Source organism: Homo sapiens, chromosome 8 (assembly GCF_000001405.40).
Source record: "Homo sapiens chromosome 8, GRCh38.p14 Primary Assembly".
NCBI classification, from domain to species: Eukaryota; Metazoa; Chordata; class Mammalia; order Primates; family Hominidae; genus Homo; species Homo sapiens.
In genome coordinates, this window is record NC_000008.11 from 129591820 (window position 1) to 129613278 (window position 21459).

A 21459-nucleotide genomic window follows, 5' to 3' on the forward strand; every position below is an offset into this window, starting at 1 on the left:
AAGAGGCTCCAAGCTGAAATGGAGGCATCAGGACAGGGTCCTGACCCCCTTCCAGGCCCCCTTACTGACCAGCCCCTGAGAGCAGGGCTACACTTCTGTCTGGTGACCTCTGCTAGTGTTAAGGGGCCCACTCTTTGCTCCATCTCTCTTGGCCCAGAGCCAGGGGTGGGCTGTGGAAAGACACAAGGGTGGATAAGTCTGAATGGACCCCCCCTCCAATGGTCACACCCCCCCCAGCCCCAATTCAGTTAAAGATTGCAGGAAGTGGTTTGTCCGTTTAGAAGTCTTCACAGCTCTGAGGCCCTTCTGAGAAATTAACTTGCAGTTCTCTAAAGATAGATTGCGCAAAATGGGAGGGGGCAGCCCCCAAGGACCCTCCAACAGCAATTCTCCTGAGGACTTCCAGAGACCTCTGCCAGTGCCCCCACCCCCACCCCGCCCCCTTGAGCAGCTGCCTGTCCTTGGATGGACCAAATCAACACCCGACTCTTGTGCAAGGCTCGGGTTTCATGTCCCCAGTGAACAAATTCTGTTCTGAAGAGGCAGTGGGGTGGGGAGGCTGAGGCGGGGAGGGGACATCAAAAACAGGGGGAGGGGAGGGGAGGATGGTGGGGGTGGGGTTTTCAGCTGCTCATGTCATTTATTTTCCACGGAATCTTAACTGTAATTTCAAACTGCATCTGGGTTTTCTGAAACTATGTGATTTGCCATGAGGTTCACAGAGAGTTTAGGCCTTGCTCCAAACTTCAGCGCTTTCACGCCTAGAAAAACAGGATCCAGGAAGGCAAAGTGATGTGAAGAAGGGGATACTGCTGTCCCCTGATGGAGGGACATGTAAAGAAATAAATAAGCAATTGGTTTAGCCAGGGTAGAGGGTAGGGACATGGGTGCCACTCAAACATTGAAATTTCCTAGCAATCAGACAGAGCAGAGCTGGCCTTGGGAGGAACAAGTCTGTAATTTTTTTTTTTTTTTTTTTTACTTTGGACAGAGTTTTTAAGCAACTGGTTTTGGAAAAAGAAGGTGGTTCTACCAAGAAAGGCTAAGATGGGCTTGAAGCTTACATATGCCGCCAACCCATATCCCCAACCAGCACCCTGATCAGAATTGCTCCTTCGCTTACACAATCCTTAAGATTTACTCCAGTTTGTTTGCAGATCTCCTGTCTGGAGTATTGGGGATATAGAGACTGAGACACAGTGAGCTTGGGATCTAGTGAGAGAGGCGGAAAAGACATAGACGAAGAGGACCCTGTGGTTCCATACAACAGCATGAGTATTGCAAAGCGTAGCTGTGCAGAGAAGGGAGCGACACCCTGAGGGCGATGGGAGCTGCAGGCAGAGACCATCAGAGGAGCCTCCTGGAGAGGATGGCAGTGAGCTGTGTTTGAAAGATGAATTCCAGGCAGACAGGTAGCCAAGCCCCATTCTGGCGTGAGCAAATAGCATGTGCATGGAGCCATAAAACAGCCTGGACAATGTGGGTCTGTAATTGTTCAGAGGAAAGGATGTGGGTCACAGTGGAATCGAAGCCCCAGCCCCCTAAAGCACTGGGCCATGAAGTCCCAGGGAACAAGGATCTGCTATAAGCTCTGAGTAGCTTATTACCCAATCTGGAACTCTAGGAAAGAGGGCACACCGGGGCTTAGACTCCCACAGTCAAGACCCTCCAGCCACACAGGACTTAAACATCATCACTTCCCCTCTCAGGGCCCAGCCCACTGGGTAGACTTGCCTGCTAGAGATCTCTACCATGCCCAGCCCAAAGCTCGACCCCAGAAAGCCAGTTGGAGCCTCAGGACAAACTGCGAATCCCAGCCGCCTTTCATGTCTGTCATACGTGTTTGCCTCCTAAGTCACCCACCCTCTCAGCCACGGGGCTTCTGTTCTTTCACTCCCTACCAGTTTGCACTATAAGATGATTTGTCTCCTCTGCGCACTCAATGTTCTCACTTTCGCACATTTCCACTGTGTCCCGAGAAACTTATTTCCCTTTAACCTCAACCTTTCCATCAAATTATAATTCTTTCTTTTCCACCTTCGTAACTTAGATTTGACCGGGCAGCACTAGAGGGAGCTCCTCCCCTCCTCCCCTGGGACCCTTGGAACTGGGCCCATTCTCCAGGCCCACACGCCTAAAGGTAGGAGGTGGAGGCAGGAAACCCATCAGAATCAGTGTTTCCACCACCCATTCCTGCATTCCTGCAACCTGGCAAAATCCCAAACCTGAATTAAACTCACTGTCGCCTTCTTTGATCTTCTATTGGGGTGACTGGGCACAGCTGGAGAAAATTGCAGAGCAGAGAAGCAACACGACATCTCCATCACTCCACAGCAAACGTCTGTTCAACACATTCAGTCTCTCGGTATCAAGGTTACTGGTCCATTCTTTTTCTTCTGCTAGTTTAGCAGCCTTGCCATTAACTTCCAAAAACTTTTCCTTTCAACTTCCCTAGCTTATCCCCATTATCCTAAAACATAACCTGGCTTTCTGATCCAAAATAAAGTTGAGACCATTGGGTATGCACAAGTTAAATTCCTGTCCAACTCTCTCAAAATTAACTATTCCTGTGTCTTCTTCCCTTCTAGTATCAGAAGATGTATTGATTTCCTATTGCTGTTATGACAAATTACCCCAAACGTAGTGACTTAAAATGACACAAATATTCTCTTACATTTCTGGATGTCAGAAGTCCAAAATGAGTCTCACAAGGCTAAAACTCAAAGTGGTCTGCCAACAACAATCAGGCAGACCTGGTTTCTTCAGGAGAAAATCAGTTTCCTGCCTCTTCTGGCTTCAAATGGCTGCCAGCATTCCCTGGCTTATGGCTGCATCACCCCAGACTCTGCTCCCGTGGTCACATTGCCTGCTTTTCTTCTATAGTCAAATCTTCCTTTGCCTCCCTCTTAGAAGGACACTTGTGATTATGTTAAAGGCCCACCCAAATAATCCAGAATAATCTCACTCTCTTAAGATCCTTAATTTAATCACATCTGCAAAGTCCCTGTTGCATATAAGGTAGCATTCACAGGTTCAGGGGATGGGGATATGTGCATCTTTGAGGGGCCATTATTCAGCCTCTCACAAATGATGCAGTGTGACTGCATCTTCATGGCCACGCCTCCATCTATTCCCCTCAAGATCTCTGCTCCTCCCCCTTTCTAGCCTCTAATGTCGTCTTCCAGTCCCTATGAGTTCACTCCCATGAGCCTATAAACATAATCAAGTGTCTTCCATATTAAAATATAAACACTCTCTGGATCTAACGTTTTCCTCCAACCTCTATTTCTACTCTACCTTTTCTTCTAGAACATTCTGGAAAGCATCCTCTTCACTTGCTGTCTCCACTTCTCACCTCCCCCTCCCTAGCCAGATCACTACAATCTCCCTTTTCTCCCACTGCTCCACCAGAACTGCTCTGACATGTCTCCAGTGACCATGATATTGACAAAACAACGAACATGTTTCAGTCCTATTCTAACTGAAGTCTCCACTTATTGGACTGTGGACTACTCACAGATTTTTATTTCTGAAACTTTCTTTTGCTTGCTTATGTTCCTCATCTTCTGCTAATTATTTCTTTTCATTATTATTCATGAGTTCCCTCTCCTCTTTCCACTTTTTGAATACTAGAATTGGGTTCTCCCCATAGACACCCTGCTTGGATTATCTAATCTACTCTCCTTGTTTTAACAACCACCTATGTGCTGGTGTCTTTTATTTATTTATTTATTTTTGAGACAGAGTCTCACTCTTGTTGCCCAGGCTGGAGTGCAACGGCGCTATCCCAGCTCACCACAATCTCCTCCTCCGGGTTCAAGTGATTCTCCTGCCTCAGCCTCCAGAGTAGCTGGGATTACAGGTGCATGCCACCATGCCCAGCTAATTTTGTATTTTTAGTAGAGACAGGGTTTCTCCATGTTGGTCAGGCTGGTCTTGAACTCACAATCTCAGGTGATCCACCTGCTTCAGCCCCCCAAAGAGCTGGGATTACAGGTGTGAGCCACCACATCTGGCCTGCAGGTGCCTTCTAAGACTGCATTTCCAGCTCCACTGTCTCCCCTAAGTCCTTTATTCAGTTGCCCACTTGACACCTCCAGCTTGATACTCCACAGCCTCCTCAGGGTGATGAAACTTGTACATTCTCCTATGTTTCAAATCTCCATCAAAGTCATCATTAGCTACCCAGTCATCACTTTTCTCCAAATCACCAAATCTTAATGATTTCACCTTTCTAAATGTTTGTTTTCCCTTTTATCTACTGACCCACTGACTTAGTTTAGGATATTGTGCAAAAGCCCCATAGCTGTTCTTACACCGCCCTGCTCACCCCTGCCCACAGTGGATCCATCCTACATGCAGTCTTCAGATCTGTTTTTCTATTTGATCTCTCTGCTTGAAACATTTCAATTGCCCCACATCACTTTCAGAATAAAACCAGAGTAAATACTCTTTATACTGGAATCCCAGCCCTCTCCAATCTTGCCCCCATCTCTCTCTCCTGCCTCTTATAGTTGTTCTTTAGTTAGTTAACACCAAGCTTCTTTTAATTCCCACAAATGTCATGACGTTTCTTACCTTTCACCATTGTTCATGCTATTTTTTTACACTTCTTTGATGGCAAACCCGATCTTTAAGCATGGGCTCAGATAGCACCTCTTATGAGAAACCATCTGTAAATCCCCAGGCCTTCCTCTGAACTCACTGACTGCCCTCTATGTTTCTCTACTAGCACCTAGCACATTATTGAACTGAGGAAATAGAAGCATTTAGATGAGAAAGTCTACATATTCTCTTCTTCCAGTTTCTGTCCCTTTTTTCTCTTTCCCTTACAGCAAACCACAGAAGAGGAGTCTATTTGACCGCATTGCTTAAAACTCTTCAATCAAGTGGTGCTCTCCATCACTTCCAGAATAAAGCCAGGAAATACTTCCCAGACTGTAATAGAAAGCTCTCGGGTCAGAGCTACCTCCTGGAATCTCTCCTACCTCACTGGCCATTTTTATTCTGCCCCTTTGCTGATCTATCTCATCACCACAAACTTCATTTCTCTATAACAGTTTTATTTCTCTATAACAGTTTTATTGAGACATAATTCTCTATAACACTTTTATTGAGACATAATTCACACACTGTACAATTCACCTATTTGACATATACAATTCAGTGATGTTTAGTATACTCACAGGTATGTGCAACCATGAGCACAGCCAATTTTAGAATACTTTCACCAACTCAAAAGGACATCCCATGCCTTTTAGTTATTACCCTCTTATCTCCCTACTCCCTCTAGCCCTAAGCAACCACTGGTCAGCTTTCTGTCTCTATAGATTTGCCTATTCTGTCCATTTCATACAAATTGAATCATTTAAGATGTAGTCTTTTTGACTACATTTAATTTAGCATAGTCATTTCATTTAGCATAATGTTTTCAAGGTTCATCATGTTGTGGCATGTATCAATACAGGATTCCTTTTCATGACTAAATAATATCCCATTTTATGAGCATACCATATTTTGTTTATCCATTTTTCAGTTGATTAGGACTTCCTTGTTTGGGCTATTATAAATAATACTGCTATCAACATTTGTGTACAAGTCTTCATGCAGGCATATATTTTCATTTATCTTGGGTATATAGCTAGGAGTGGAATTGCTGGGTCACATAGTAACTCTGTGTTTAACCATTTGAGGAACTGCCAGACAATTTGTCAAAGTGACTGCACCACTTGACATTCCTGACAGCAGTATACAAAGCTTCTGGTTCCTCCATATTCTCACCAACACTTGAAATTGTTTGACTGTTTAAATTTTAGTCTTCCTAGTGGATATGAATGCATATCTCATTGTGGTTTTAATTTACATTTCCCTGATGACTAATGTCAAACACCTTTTCATGTGCTTACGAACCATTTGTATACCTTATTTGGAGAAATGTCTTTTCAGATCGTTTGCCCATTTTTAATTAGATTATTTGTCTTTTTATTATTGAGTTTAAGAGTTCTTTATATAGTCTAGATACAAGTTTTTTGTCAAATTTATGACTTGCAAATATTTTCTTCCATTCTTGTCTTTGTACTTTCTTGATTGTGTCCTTTAGAGCATAGAAGTTTTTTATTTTGTTGAAGATTCATTTATCTTATTTTTCTTTTGTTGCTCATGCTTTTGGTGTCGTATCTAAGAATTCATTGCCAAATTAGAGGTCATGATGATATATTTGTACATATCTTCTAAGAGTTGTATAGTTTTAGCTCTTATGCTTAGATCCTCGATCCACTTTGAGTTAACTTTTTATATGGTGTGAGATAAGGACCCAATTTTACCCTTTCGAGTGGGGATATCCAGTATTCCTATGAAAGACTACTCTTTCTCCTATTGAATGATCTGGGCATCTTTGTTGAAAACCAGTTGATTACAGATACATGGATTTATTTCTGGACTCTCAATTTTATTCCATTGATCTACATGTTTGTACTTATTCTGGTACCACACTCTCTTGACTACTGATGCTTTGTTGTAAGTTTTGAAACCAGTAAGTGTGAATCTTTCAACTTTGTTTTTATTTTTCAAGATTGTTTTCATAATTCAAGATCCCTTGAAATTCCATATGAATTTCTGGATAAGCTTGTCAATTTCTACAAAGAAGCCAGCTGGGATTCTGATAAGGATTCCATTGAATCTCTAAATCAATTTGGGGAGTATTGCCATCTTAACAATACTCTTACACGCCACAAATATAAAATACTTTTTATTTATTTTAATCTTTAAACTCTAAAACATTTAAAATTTTTGAGTTTTCAGAGCATAAGTTTTATGCTTCTTTTGTTAAATATATTACTAAACGTTTTATTTTATTTTATTATCAACTTTTAATTTCCCGGGTAAATGTGCAGGATGTGTAGATTTGTTACATAGGTAAATGTGTGCCATGGTGGTTTGCTGCACAGATCAGCCCATCACCCAGGTATTAAACCCAGCACCCATTAGCTGTTCTTCCTGATACTCTTCTTCCCCAACCCCGGTAGGCCCCAGTGTGTGTTGTTCCCCTGCATGCATCCATGTGTTCTCGTTGTTGAGCTCCCACTTATAAGTGAGAATATGTGGTGTCTGGTTTTCTGTTCCTGCACTAGTGTGCTGAGTATAACAGCTTCCAGCTTCATCCATGCAAAGGACACGATCTCATTCCTTTTCATGGCTGCATAGTATTCCATGGTGTATATGTACCACATTTTCTTTATCCAGTCTACTGTTGATGGGCACTCGAGTTGATTACATTTCTTTGCTATTGGGAATAGTACTGCAATGAACATACACATGCATGTATATTTATAATAAAGTGATTTATATTGCTTTGGGTATATACCCAGTAATGGGATTGCTGGGTCAAATGTTATTTCTGCTTCTAGATCTTTGAGGAATTGCCACACTGTCTTCCACAATTGTTGAACTAATTTACATTCCCACCAACAGTGTAGAAGTATTCCTTTTTCTCCACAACTTGCCAGCATCTATCATTTCTTGACTTTTTATAATAGCCATTCTGACTGGTGTGAGATAGTATCTCATTGTGGTTTTGATTTGCATTTTTCTAATAATCAGTGATGTTGAGCTTTTTTTCATATGTTTCTTGGCTACATGAATGTCTTCTTTTAGAAGTATCTGTTGATGCCCTTTGCCCACTCTCTTTTTTTTTTTTATTTCCATGGGTTTTGGGGGAACAGGTTGTATTTTGTTACATGAGTAAGTTCTTTTTTTTAATTATACTTTAAGTTCTAGGGTACATGTGCACAACTTGCAGGTTTGTTACATAGGTATACCTGTGCCATGTTGGTTTGCTGCACCCATCAACTCGTCATTTACATTAGGTATTTCTCCTAATGCTATCCCTCCGCCCAGCCCCCCACCCCCAACAGGCCCCAGTGTGTGATGTGCCCTGCCCTGTGTCCATGTGTTCTCATTGTTCAACTCCCACCTATGAGTGAGAATGTGTGGTGTTTGGTTTTCTGTCCTTGTAATAGTTTTCTTAGAATGATGGTTTCCAGCTTCATCCATGTCCCTGCAAAGGACATGAACTCATCCTTTTTTATGCCTTTCCCACTTTTTAATGGGGTTGCTTGTTTTTTTCTTATACATTTGTTTAAGTTCCTTGTAGCGTCTGGATATTACACCTTTGTCAGATGAATAGATTGCAAAAATTTTCTCCCATTCTGTAGGTTGTCTCTTCACTTTGATGATCGTTTCTTTTGCTGTGCAGAAACTCTTTAGTTTAATTAGATCTCATTTGTCAATTTTGCCTTTGTTGCAGTTGCTTTTGGCATTTTCATCATGAAATCTTTTCCTGTGCCCATGTCCTGAATGGTATCGCCTATATTTTTTTGTAGGGTTTTTGTAGTTTTGGGTTTTACATTTAAGTCTTTATTCCATCTTGAGTTAATTTTTGATAAGGTACAAGGAAGGGGTCCAGTTTCAATTTTCTGCGTATGGCTAGCCAGTTCTCCCAGCACCATTTATTAGATAGGGAATCCTTTCCCAATTACTTGTTTTTGTCAGGTTTGTCAAAGATCAGATGGATGTAGGTGTGCAGTCTTATTTCTGAGTTTTCTATTCTGTTCCATTAGTCTATGTGTCTGTTTTTGCACAGTATCATGCTGTTTTGACTGTAGCCTTGTAGTATAGTTTGAAGTTGGGTAGTGTGATGCCTCCAGCTCAGTTCTTTTTGATTAGGATTGTCTTGGCTATATGGGCTCTGTTTATGGATTTTAAAATAGTTTTATTCTAGTTCTGTGAAGAATATCAATGGTAGTTTAATGGAAATAGCATTGACTCTATAAATTACTTTAGGCAGTATGGCCATTTTCATAATATTATTTTTGATACTTTTTTTTTTGAGATAGTGTCTTACTTTGCCACCCAGCCTGGAGTGCAGTGGTGCGATGTCAGCTCACTGCACATCCTGAGCTGAAACAATCCTCCTGCGTCAGCCTCCCAAGTAGCTGGAACTGTAGGCCTGCACCACCATGCCTGGCTAATCTTTCGTATTTTTTGTAGAGTCAGGGTTTTTCCATGTGCCCAGGCTGGTCTCAAACTCCTGAACTCAAGTGATCTACCTACCTTGGCCTCCCAATGTACTAGGATTACAGGCATGAGCCACTGAGTCTGGCCTTGTATTTTTAGTAGAAATTGGGTCTCTCCATGTTGCCCAGGCTGGTCTCAAACTCCTGGCCTCAAGCAATCCACCCACCTCAGCCTCCCAAATTGCTGGGATTACAGGTGTGAGCCACTACACTGGCCTATTTTTTTTGATACTATTATAAGTGAAATTGTTTTCTTCATTTCAATTTCAAATTCTTTATTGCAAGTGTTTTGAAATATAATTTGTTTGTGTATATTTATCTTGTATCTCGCAACCTTAATAAACTCATTTATTGGTCCTTATAGTACTGTCCTTAAGATTATATATATACAAGGTCATGCCATTTGAAAATAGAGACAATTCTACTTTCTCCTTTTCTATCTGGATGTCTTTTATTTTTTTTTCTTGAACAGTAGTTATGGTTAGAACCTCTACTACAATGTTGAATAGATTTTTCAAAAGCAGATATTGTTTCCTTGTTCCCAACCTTAGAGAGAAAGATTTCATTCTTTCACTATTAAGTATAACATTAGCTATGGGTTTTTTATAAATGGCCTTTATCAAGTTGAGAAACTGCACTTCTAGTCCTAGTTTGTCAAACATTTTTATCATGAAAGGGTGTTTGAATTTGTCACATGTTTTTCTGTATCTGCTGTGATATCATATTCTTTTTGTTTTGTATTTTATTGATATGGTATATTACATTAACTAATTTTCATACGTTAAACCAACTTTGCATTCCCAGGATAAATCCCACTTTGTCATGGTGCATAATTCTCTTGAAATGTTTTGTGAAATTGTTTGTGAATAGGTTGTTGAGAATTTTTGCATCCATATTCAAAAGAGATATTGGTCTATATTTTTCTTTTTTGTGATATCTTTGCCTGGTTTTAGTATCAGGGTAATACTGGCCTCATAGAATCAATTTGGGAATGTTTCCTACTCTTCTAATTTTTAGGAGAGTTTGTAAAGAATTGGCATTAATTATTCTTTAAATACTTAGTAGAATTTACCAGTGAAGCCAACCAAACCTGGGCTTTTCCTTGGGTGTGGTTTCTTAAATGGTTTATTGATATAAAATTTACATAATGTAAAATTATCTTAATTTTGTTAAGATGAATAAAATCAATGACATTTAGAATATTAACAATGTTGTGCAACCACCATCTCTATCTAATTTCAAAATATTTCCATCATTCCAAAATAGAACTACTTAAACATAAAGCAGTTTCTCCCCAGCCCAGGGAAACCATCAATCTTCATTCCATCTCTAACGACTTATCTATTATAGATATTTCATATAAGTGGAACTAAACAATATGTAGATTTTTGCATCCAGCTTCTTCACTTAGCATAAAGCTTTCAAGATTCATCCATGTTGTAGTAAAAATCAGAACTCCATTTCTTCTTATAGCTAAATAATATTCCATTGTACATATATACCACAATTTGTTTATCCATTCTTCTGTTGAGGATTATTTGGGCTATTTTCACCTTTGGCTATTGTGAATAGTGCTCCTATAAACATGCATGTACACGTATTTGTTTGAGCATGTGTTTTCAATTCTGTTGAGTATACACATAGGAGTAGAATTCCAGGGTCATGTAGTAATTCCATGTTTAACTTTTTGAGGAACCACCAAATTGTTTGCACGGTGGCTAAAACATTTTATTTTTCCACTAGCAGTATATGAGGGATCCAATTTCTTCACTGTCTCACCAAAACTTATTATTTGCAGGGGGTGGGGTGTTTGTTTTTATCACAGTTATCCTAGTGGGGTTGAAGTACTACCTGATTGTTTTTATTTGCATTTTTATAATGAATAATGTATTAGTCCATTTTCATGCTGTTATAAAGAACTGTCCAAGACTGGGTAATTTATAAAGGAAAGAGGTTTAATTGACTCACAGTTCCACATGGCTGGGGAGGCCTCAGGAAACTTACAATCATGGCAGAAGGGAAAGCAAACATGTACTTCCTCACAAGATGCAGGAAACAGCAGTGCCAAGCAAGAGGGAAAAACCTGTTATAAAATCACCAGGTCTCATGCTAACTCACTCACTAGCCACAGCTGGAGGTGAAGCAGCTGGGATGCAGGACACCATGCTCCAAGGCTGCACGAGCAGGGTTGCCCTGGGCATGGCCCAGTAAACTATTTTTCCCTCCTTTTCCCTCTGATTTGGGTGGGGACACTGCCAAACCATATCATTCCACCCCAGCCCCTCCAAAATCTCATGTTCTCACATTTCAAAACACAATCATGACTTTCCAATAGTCCCTAAAGTCATAACTCATTCCAACATCAACTCAAAAGTCCAAGTCCAGGATCTCATCTGAAACAAGGCAAGTTCCTTCTGCCTATGAGCCTGTAAAATCAAAAGCAAGTTAGTTACTTCCTAGGTACAATGGGGGCACAGACATCAGGTAAATACACCCATTCTAAATGGGAGAAATTGGCCAAAACAAAGAAGCTAAAGGCCCCATGCAAGTCCAAAACCCAGGAGGGCAATCATTTAACCTTAAAGTTCCAAAATGATCTCCTTTGACTCCATGTTTCACATCCAGGTTGCATTTATGCAAAAGGTGGGCTCCCATGGCCTTGGACAGCTCTGCTCCTGTGGGTTTGCAGGGTACAGCCCCACTCCCAGCTGCTTTCATGGCTGACATTGAGTGTCTGTGGCTTTTCCAGGCACACAGTCCAAGCTGTCAATGGATCTACCATTCTGGGGTCTAGAGGATGGTGGCCCTCTTCTCACAGCTCCACTAGGCAGTGCCCCACTGGGGACTCTGTGTGGGAGCTCCAACCTCACATTTCCCTTCCACACTGCCCTAGCAGAGGTTCTCTGTGAGGGCTCCACCACTGCAGCAGACTTCTGCCTGGACATCCAGGCATTTCCATACATCTTCTGAAATCTAGGAGGAAGTTCCCAAACCTCAATTCTTTACTTCTGTGCACCCACAGGCTCAACACCACATGGAAGCCACCAAGGCTTGGGGCTTGCACTCTCTGAAGTAATGGCCCAAACTGTATGTACCTCGGCTCCTTTTAGCCACAGCTGGAGGTGAAACAGCTGGGATGCAGGACACCATGCCCCAAGGCTGCACAGAGCAGGGTGGCCCTGGGCATGGCCCAGTAAACCACTTTTCCCTCTGTGGCCTGTAATGGGAGGGGCTGCTGTGAAGGTCTCTGACATGCCCTGGAGACATTTTCCCCATTGTCTTGGTGATGAACATTTGGCTCCCCATTACCTATGCAAATTTCCTCAGCTGGCTTGAATTTCTCCCCAGAAAATCTGGTTTTCTTTTCTATCACATTATCAGGTGGCAAATTTTCCAAACTTTTAAGCTCTGCTTCCTCTTGAATGCTTTCCCACTTAGAAATTTCTTCCTCCAGATATCCTAAATCATCTATCTCAAGTTCAAAGTTCCACAGATCTCTAGGGCAAGGTCAAAATGCCACCAGTCTCTTTTCTAAAGCATCACAAGTGTCACCTTTATTCCAGTCCCCAACAAGTTTCTCATCTCCATCTGAGCCTGGGCTAAGATGAGGTGAGATGAGATGAGGAACTTGTTGGGAACTGAGACCATCTCAGCCTGGACTTCATTGTCCATATCACTATCAGCATTTTGGTCAAAGCCATTCAACAAGTCTCTAGGAAGTTCCAAACTTTTCCACATTTTCCTGTCTTCTTCTGAGCCCTCCAAACTGTTCCAACCTCTGCCTGTTACCCAGTTCCAAAGTCGCTTCCACATTTTCAGGTATCTTTACAGGAGTGCCCCTCTACTCCTGGTACCAACTTACTGTATTAGCCCATTCTCACACTGCTATAAATAACTGTCCAAGACTGGGTAATTTAAAAAGGAAAGAAGTTTACTTGACTCACAGTTCTGCATGGTTGGGGAGGCCTCAGGAAACTTACAATCATAGCAGAGGGGGAAGCAAACACATCCCTCTACACAAGGCAGCAGGAGACACAAGAGCCAAGCAAGGGGGAAAAGCCCCTTATAAAACCACCAAATCTCATGATAACTCACTCACTATCATGAGAACATCAGCATGGAGGTAACTGCCCCATGATTCAATTACCTCCATCAGGTCCCTCCCACGATATGTGGGGATTATGGAAACTACAATTCAAGATGAGATTTGGGTGGGGACACAGCTAAACCATATCAAATAACAATATTAAACATCTTATCATGTGCTTATTGGCTATTTGTAGATCTTTTTTTAAAGAAATGTCTATTCAAGTCCTTTGCTTATTTTTTAATTGAGTTGTTTGGGGTTTTCTTTGTTTTATCTATATCTTCTTGGGTCAGTTTCAGTAGGTTGTGACTTTCTAGGAATTTGTCAATTTCATGCAAATTGTATAATTTATTGGAATACAATACTTTTTTATTTCTAGAAGGTCAAAAGTAATATCTTCTCTTTTATTTCTTTTTTTTATATACTTTAAGTTTTAGGTTACATGTGCACAACGTGCAGGTTTGTTACCTATGTATACATGTGCCATATTGGTGTGCTGCACCCATTAACTCATCATTTAGCATTAGGTATATCTTCTAATGCTATCCCTCCCCTCTCCCCCAACCCCACAACAGTCTGCAGTGTGTGATGTTCCCCTCCCTGTGTTCATGTGTTCTCATTGTTCAATTCCCACCTATAAGTGAGAACATGCGGTGTTTGGTTTTTTGTCCTTGCGATAGTTTGCTGAGAATGATGGTTTCCAGCTTCATCCATGTCCCTACAAAGGACATGAACTCATCATTTTTTATGGCTGCATAGTATTCCATGGTGTATATGTGCCACATTTTCTTAATCCAGCCTATCATTGTTGGACATTTGGCTTGGTTCCAAGTCTTTGCTATTGTGAGTAGTGCCGCAATAAACATAGATGTGCATGTGTCTTTATAGCAGCATGATTTATAGTCCTTTGGGTATATACCCAGCAATGGAATGGCTGGGTCAAATGGTATTTCTAGTTCTAGATCCCTGAGGAATCGCCACACCAACTTCCACAATGGTTGAACTAGTTTACAGTCCCACCAACAGTGTAAAAGTGTTCCTATTTCTCCACATCCTCTCCAGCACCTGTTGTTTCCTGACTTTTTAATGATTGCCATTCTAACTGGTGTGAGATGGTATCTCATTGTGGTTTTGATTTGCATTTCTCTGATGGCCAGTGATGGTGAGCATTTTTTCATGTGTTTTTTGGCTGCATAAATGTCTTCTTTTGAGAAGTGTCTGTTCATATCCTTTGCCCACTTTTTGATGGGGTTGTTTGTTTTTTTCTTGTAAATTTGTTTGAGTACATTGTAGATTCTGGATATTAGCCCTTTGTCAGATGAGTAGGTTGCAAAAATTTTCTCCCATTCTGTAGGTTGCCTGTTCACTCTGACGGTGGTTTCTCTTTTATTTCTAATTCTAGTAATTTGAATTTTCACTAATTTTTTGGTCAATTTAGCTAAATATTTATTAATTCTGTTAATGTGTTTAAAGAACTAGCTACTCTGTTGTTTGGTTTCTATAAATTTGTGAGTTTCTCAAATATAAGAAAATCTTTTATTGATTTCTAATTTCATTTCATTACAGTTAAGGAAGACAGGTTTTATTATTTCTATACTTTCAAATTTATTGAGGTTTGTTTTATAGCCTGCCATAGGATGCATCCTTCACTTGAAAAGAAGATATATTCTGCTGTTGTTAGGTGGAGTGCTCTACAGGATTCTGTGCAGTCTAGCGGGTTTATCATGTTGTTAAATTCTTCACTTTCTTTGTTGATCTTCTGCTACTTGTTCCATCCATTACCAAAAGTGTGATATGGAAGTCCCCAACTATTGTTTTTAATTATCTATTTCTTCTTTCATTTCTGTCAGATTATACTTCATGTATTTTGCTGCTTTCTTGTTAGATACATATATGTTTATAATGGTTACATCTTTCTGATGAATTGAACTTTTGATTATCATAAAATATCCCTCTATATCTCCAGTAAAGTTTTTTGTTTTAAGGTCTATTTTGTCTGATGAACACACCAGCTCTCTTGTCATCACTGTGTACATGACATATCTTTTTTCATCCATTTACTTTCCATTTATTTTATTTATTCTTTTGATTTTTCAGAAAGAGTCTATTCTGTTGCCCAGGCAGAAGTGCGATGGTGTGATCTTGGCCCACTGCAGTCTCAACCACCTGGGCTCAAGCAATCCTCCCACCTCAGCCCCTGAGTAGCTGGGACTACAAGCAAGTGTGCCACCATGCCTGGCTAATTTTTTTTTTTTTTTTTTTTTTTTTTTTTTTGGTAGAGACAGGGTCACCCTATGTTGCCCAGCTGGTCTCAAACTCCTAGGTTCAAGCAATCCTCCTGTCCAGGCTCCCAAAGTGCTGGAATTATAGGCACAAGCCACTGCATCCAGCCTTCAATTTATTCTTGTCTTTAAATCTAAAGTGTATCTCCTATAGACAGCATATACTGGGAACTTTTTTTATCCAGTCTCACAGTGTTTGCTTTTAATTGGATCATTTATTTTATTCACATTTTATGATACTGATGTAGTTGGATTTATGTCTGCCATTTTACTTCCTTTTTTCTATATGTCTCATGTCTTTTTTGTTCCTCTATTCCTCCTTTACTACTTTCTTTTGCATTAACTTAATATTTTCTAATGTAGCATTTTCATTTCTTTAATGATATTTTCTACTATTTTTAGTGGTTGCTCTAGGGCTTACCATAGATATACCTTAACTTACCAAAGATATACCTTAACTTACCAAAAACAGCTTCAGATTTATACTAATTTAATTCCAATGAGATATAGAACTATTGCTCCTATATACGTTTATTACCTTCTTCTCCTTTGTGTAGTTTTATTGCTATGCATATTACATATGTAAACATTACCAATTCAGCAATACTTCGTAATAATTATATTATTACTTCATATAATTTCATGTCTTTTAAAGACATTTCTTTTTAAATTTATTGGCAAGAATATTAAATTTCTATGTATTATAGAGACAAAAAACATATTCATACTGTTTTATATGGTTTTATAAAAAATTAGTTACAAGAAAAAAGGCATAAATTGATTCATAAGCCAATCAAATCAAATTCAGGCTCCTTTGAAGGTATAGTTCTGAATGTCAGTGTTTAAGGTTTGTTCTGACCACAGGAGGGTTCTTCCCAGCTATTTCTTCCCTGTTTCCCTCTCTGGTAAACTAGCGAGCCTATAACACCCACGAATCTATTAATCTCCCAATTACCTTTCACCACAACTTTCACTATTTTTGAAAGTGTCCTTGGGCTTGAACTTCTCTGCAATCTGTTGCAAATGAAGCAAGTTCCTTTGGTCAGAGATTTGGAACTCTCTGCTTCTATAGACTGTTTTCCCCCTGGTATAAATTTCTGAGCCAAGCCCTGGTACTAGGGGTGGGGATGATGGCGTGCTTCTCTCTGAGTGACAACTCCACTTTAGGAGCTGAGTGCTGAGTGAGTTGGGGAGGGGCCATCAGCCCCAGGTCCCTTTGGCTTGCCCTTCTCCACATGGAATCCTTGTCCCCAAGCTTGAGCAAGGGGCCCAAGTTTTCTCAACAGCACTACTCCCAAGGTAAAACCTCCATTCCATAGTTGAGGCTGGATGGAACAAGGGAACCCCCCGGCTCCCAGCTGTACTTGCCCAGAACCTGGCCTCAGCAACAGGTAGCTGGGAGCAGAAGGAGAAATGCTTATGTCCTATCCCCCCAAGGGAATATAGTCCTCCAACTTGGAATTAGCAGGAGTGAGGGCCCTGGGTTTTAGGCTATACCAGTCTGGAATATATGGTACATCTTGCTGAGCTGGAATGGGGGAGAGAGAATGCAGGTCTTGGCTCAACTAGCAAAGACTCTCATCGTTCTTATTGAGTTTATTATATTTTCTTAAATAAATGTTTTTTTTTCATTTACTATATGCTCTTAGAACCATTTCCAGAGACTTTAAATGCTTGGGAGAATCTTATATAATTTTCAACAAGTTTTGCTGGGGATGAGGTCTATGGAGCTGCTCACATCATTACGGAGAAACCTCAGCACAAACTTCAAATGATAAAATGCCCTGGAGCTCATTCTCTAGATCTCTTATTTTCTGTATCTAGACACACTCCCTTGATTATCTCATCCAGTTGTGTGGCTTGATATATCATCTATACATAGATCTAAATTGCAAGCCTGGTTGTCACCTCTGATTTATAGATTCTCATACCAACTGCCTCCTCGACTAGGATGTTAATAAGCATTTCAAACTTAAATCCAAATTTGAGCTTCTCCTATCTCTCCTAAATCTGTTGCTCCCACAGTCTTCTTTATTCCATTAAATTATTTCTATTTCTCAGGCCATGAAGTCAACTTTAGCTCTTCTCCGTCTCTGAGATTTCACATTTATTCTATTAGGAAATCATGTAGCTCCACCTTCAAAATAAATCCAGAATCTGCCCACTTTTGACCACCTCCATTATTATCACCTTATTTGCAACCATTATTAGCTCCAATCAGATTATTTAAATAACCTTCTAGTTAATAGTATAAGCTGTTTCTACTCTTGTTCTCCTCCAATTCATTCACCACAATGCAACCAGAGCAATTCTATTATAAAAACAAGTCCATTTATTTCACTTCTTTTCTCAGAACCCTCCAACAGTTTTCCATGTCACTTAAGACTTTTTAAAAAGTCATTTTAATAGTCTACAAGTCTTTCCACAGTCTAGCATCAACCCCAAATACTTGTCTGATCTTAACTACTCCTACTTCCACGCTCTGCCCCAGCTCTGCTGACCTCCTTACTATTTCTGCAATACGGCATTCATACTTGCCACTCAAGAATCTGATCTTGCTGTTTCTTCTGCCTATAATGCTCTTCACCTCTTCCTCCTCACCTCCCTCATGTCTTTAGACAACTATTACCCCTCCCTTATGCCTGGATCTCCTATCCAAAATTGTAACACTAAAGGGAAATCTTGGGGTGTTAACATGAAAAGGAAACTGTGCCTGAATATTGGAGCATGTGAGGCTTGGAAGTGCAAGGGAGCACCAAAATTTAATCTTAACCCTAATGGCCAGGCATTTAGATTTTATGCAAATGTAGGGATAGAAGATACGGCCTTGGACACATGTATGGTAAGGACCTACCAGAAATTGAGACCTATGCATGAAGTCAGAACATTAAACACACACACACACACACACACACACACACACACACACACACACACACACTAGAAAAGCACCAGTCCACAGAAGCAGAAAGATGCTACTAGAAAGGCAGTTTGTCAACGAACCAGAGGAGGCAAGGAGTCGATATGATTATTGAGGAAATTTAAGCATCTAGGAGTCAGTTGGACTAGAAGATATTACATCCATAAAATACCATGATTTGGTTTATCGTTAGACCTGGCTCTGCTCCTTACCACTTATGTGATCTTGTATATATCTTTTACATTTTCTGAACCTCAGTTTACTTATTTACAATATGAAAGAAAAAATCCTGTTATGTGGATCTCACACTTTATTTTCGAGGCAGAACATGAAATCGCTATGTAAAGTGAAAATACTATAAAAAGAGTAATTGAGATGTTCCTTAGAATCTCTGAGATGTAAGTTATCCTAACTCACCTCCTCCACCCCTCCCATATTTACATATATTTGAATCCAATCTCTTCCTTATGGTTTCCCCAAATCTCCGTTCTCATTTCCATGCCCACCATATTAATTATGCTCTCTGCCAATTTCCAAGATCAAAAGAATCCACTTAAGCCAAACATCTGGTGATTTTAGAAACTACACTGAAGATTTGAGGGTTCATAGCAGAGGAATATTATTTCTTACCTCACAGAACTCTGTCATCTTTTCAGACCTGTACTTCCTGCTGTCCTCTTCCACAGCCTGTGTTCCCAATATATGACTCTCTTTGCCATGCACAGACTCATGGGAAATGCACCTATTTACCCAGGTCCCACCGCTTGTCTCCTGGATTACTACAGTGCAACATTTTTTCCATCCCATCACATACATAATACCACAGTTTCACAACTGACAAAGTTTCAGAAGTTGACAAAGGTCAAGGGAGACCGTGCATTTTTCCTAAGAGTATAGATGCAAAAGCACAAACCACCAGAGTTGAGAGCATGTTGGTAAAAGAAAAAAAAACTACACACACACACACACACACACACACACAATCACATACACCATTTATTCTTTTGTAGTAATGTAACTTCAAAAATGATATGCCATACCCAAAAGTGCCAGACATTGTATGAGGTCAACTGAAGCACAGGTGCTTCACATCCCATCACATCATTCATTCCTAGGTAACATTTCACCACAGATCACTGCATTCATGTAAGTCATTCGTTCTAGATTAAGAATCTATGTGGTATAACCGTGTGTTATAATAAACCTTCAACAAACTTTTCAACAAATGCTTTACAATGCAACCTCATTAAAGAGTACTAAAAGATTTGCAAAACAGACAATTCGTATTTTCACAATATTTGGCATGTAGCAGGACTTAATTTGCTGCTACAAAAACAGAAATATTCTTTTTTTTTTCTTTGGAGATAGGGTCTCACTCCATCACCCAGGCTGCAGTGCAGTGACATGGTCAGGGCTCACTGCAGCCTCGACCTCTCGGGCTCAGGTGATTCTCCCACCTCAGCCTCCAAAGTAGCTGGAAATATAGGTATGCGCCAACACACCTGGCTAATTTTTGTGTTTTTTGTAGAGATGGGGTTTCACCATGTTGCCCAGGCTGGTCTTGAACTCCTAGGCTCAAGCTTGACCTTCCAAAATGCTGGGATTGCAGGTGTGAGCCAATGCACCTTGCCCAGAAACATTTTTACAATGTTGCTGATGTTACTATTTGGCCACATGATTCCTAATTACGACTGCTAACCTGGATCATCAATGACTTGTACCCAACTAAGAGCCTTTTCATTACCTCATTTAATCCTCATAGCTCCCATGTCTCAAAGGTACTATTGTTTTCATTTTACAGATAAGCAAACTGAAGTTTAGCCAAGGGATATCTCTTGCCCAAGATCTCCCAGCTAGTGAGTGGCAGGCCCAAGAGTTGAATTCAGAGTGTTCCTGACTCGGACATCTATATTCTAAACAGACACCCAATGGCACTCTTCTGATTTTCAATATATTACGCTTTCAGCAAGCATGATGTATAACTAATCCTTCTGGGGGCAGAAAAGAAAGGCTGTGAAGTAGAGGCTCAAACTTTTGAAAGTGATTTTGCTTTCCCTGTCTGAGATAACCCATCTGTAGAACAGGAAGATACACTTACTTTTAGCCAGGAAAAAAGTATATTTTATTTCCAACTCCCTTCTTCCTTCTAAGAAGGGTGTTACATTGTCAAAGGTGGTGAGGATGCAAATTGTAGCTAAGATGGAAGAAAAAGAACTAACATTAATGAACTTGGAGAGATATGGTGTCTGGGGAAGATAATTGAGACCGAAGGGGAAGAGAGACATAGGCAGTATGTAGCCAGGGGAAGAGATGTTATGGAAAAGAGCATGGTCAACTAAAAGTGTTTATGAAGTATTTTGGGTGATGTGTGATATAACCTAACTTTCCCTTCCATCTCCAATATAAAATATTCAACTAAAAAATTTAAAACTCACTAAGAATGGAGCTGATGTGGGAAGGGAGAGAGGTGGAGTGAAGAGAGTTGCTAAGCCCTGCTTAGGTGATGCAGACACAGGATTAGAAGTAGGGATGAGAATAGAAACAGCACCTATGGAGAAATTGTCACATCCAGGTAACATGAAAATGAAGGAAGGAGCTATAGAACTGTCACCCTGTCTTCCAGCACTATGGCTAGATCAGCCCTCAACAGGTGGTAAGCTGTGTTGCCTCAGTCTGGGGAGTCTCAGGCTAAGTTCAGGCCGGACCCTAGAAGAGTTTCAAGGAAGGAATTAGGATTAAGAAAAGAGCAGACCATGATCTCCACAGAAAAAGGATGTGTTTTGTGCATTTCTATAACTTCCATACTTAAAGTGTCTGATTAATTGCCTGGACTCAATGAGCTTTTGGTGAAGGAATTAATAAATGAATCAAATAAACACATGAGTTAATTGTTTAGTTTGAACAAAAGTGGCCTACCTGTCCATTGGCTTCAGAATGGTTTCATGGAGATGGACAGCAACCCAGAATTCTCAGAAATGCAGCCAGTGTGGCTGCCTGCGTCACCTCTTTGGTTTTGGAAAGATTACCCTTCCTAACACTCAAGAGTTTGATTTTAAATTCCCTGTACACATATGGGGAGATAGTACATAAACATAC

The 21459-nt window shown here is 40.3% G+C and overlaps 1 long non-coding RNA gene across 1 annotated transcript in view, besides 3 other annotated features; it reads right to left on the reverse strand.

The window, feature by feature from the left end:
• Positions 1-21459, reverse strand: part of CCDC26 (CCDC26 long non-coding RNA) — a 328546-nt gene that overhangs the window by 240126 nt on the left and 66961 nt on the right. The window lies entirely within an intron of this gene.
• Positions 11890-12090: a silencer, noted in NCBI's record as "peak7175 fragment used in MPRA reporter construct". NCBI's record gives its function as "represses an SCP1 promoter by STARR-seq MPRAs in K562 erythroleukemia cells {active_cell/tissue: K562}" and the evidence as "EXISTENCE:reporter gene assay evidence [ECO:0000049][PMID:32103011]".
• Positions 11890-12115: a biological region, named in NCBI's record as "MPRA-validated peak7175 silencer".
• Positions 11927-12115: a silencer, noted in NCBI's record as "fragment chr8:130615992-130616180 (GRCh37/hg19 assembly coordinates)". NCBI's record gives its function as "represses an EF-1alpha promoter that drives an FKBP-Casp9 reporter gene in an ReSE screen in HepG2 liver carcinoma cells {active_cell/tissue: HepG2}" and the evidence as "EXISTENCE:reporter gene assay evidence [ECO:0000049][PMID:32094911]".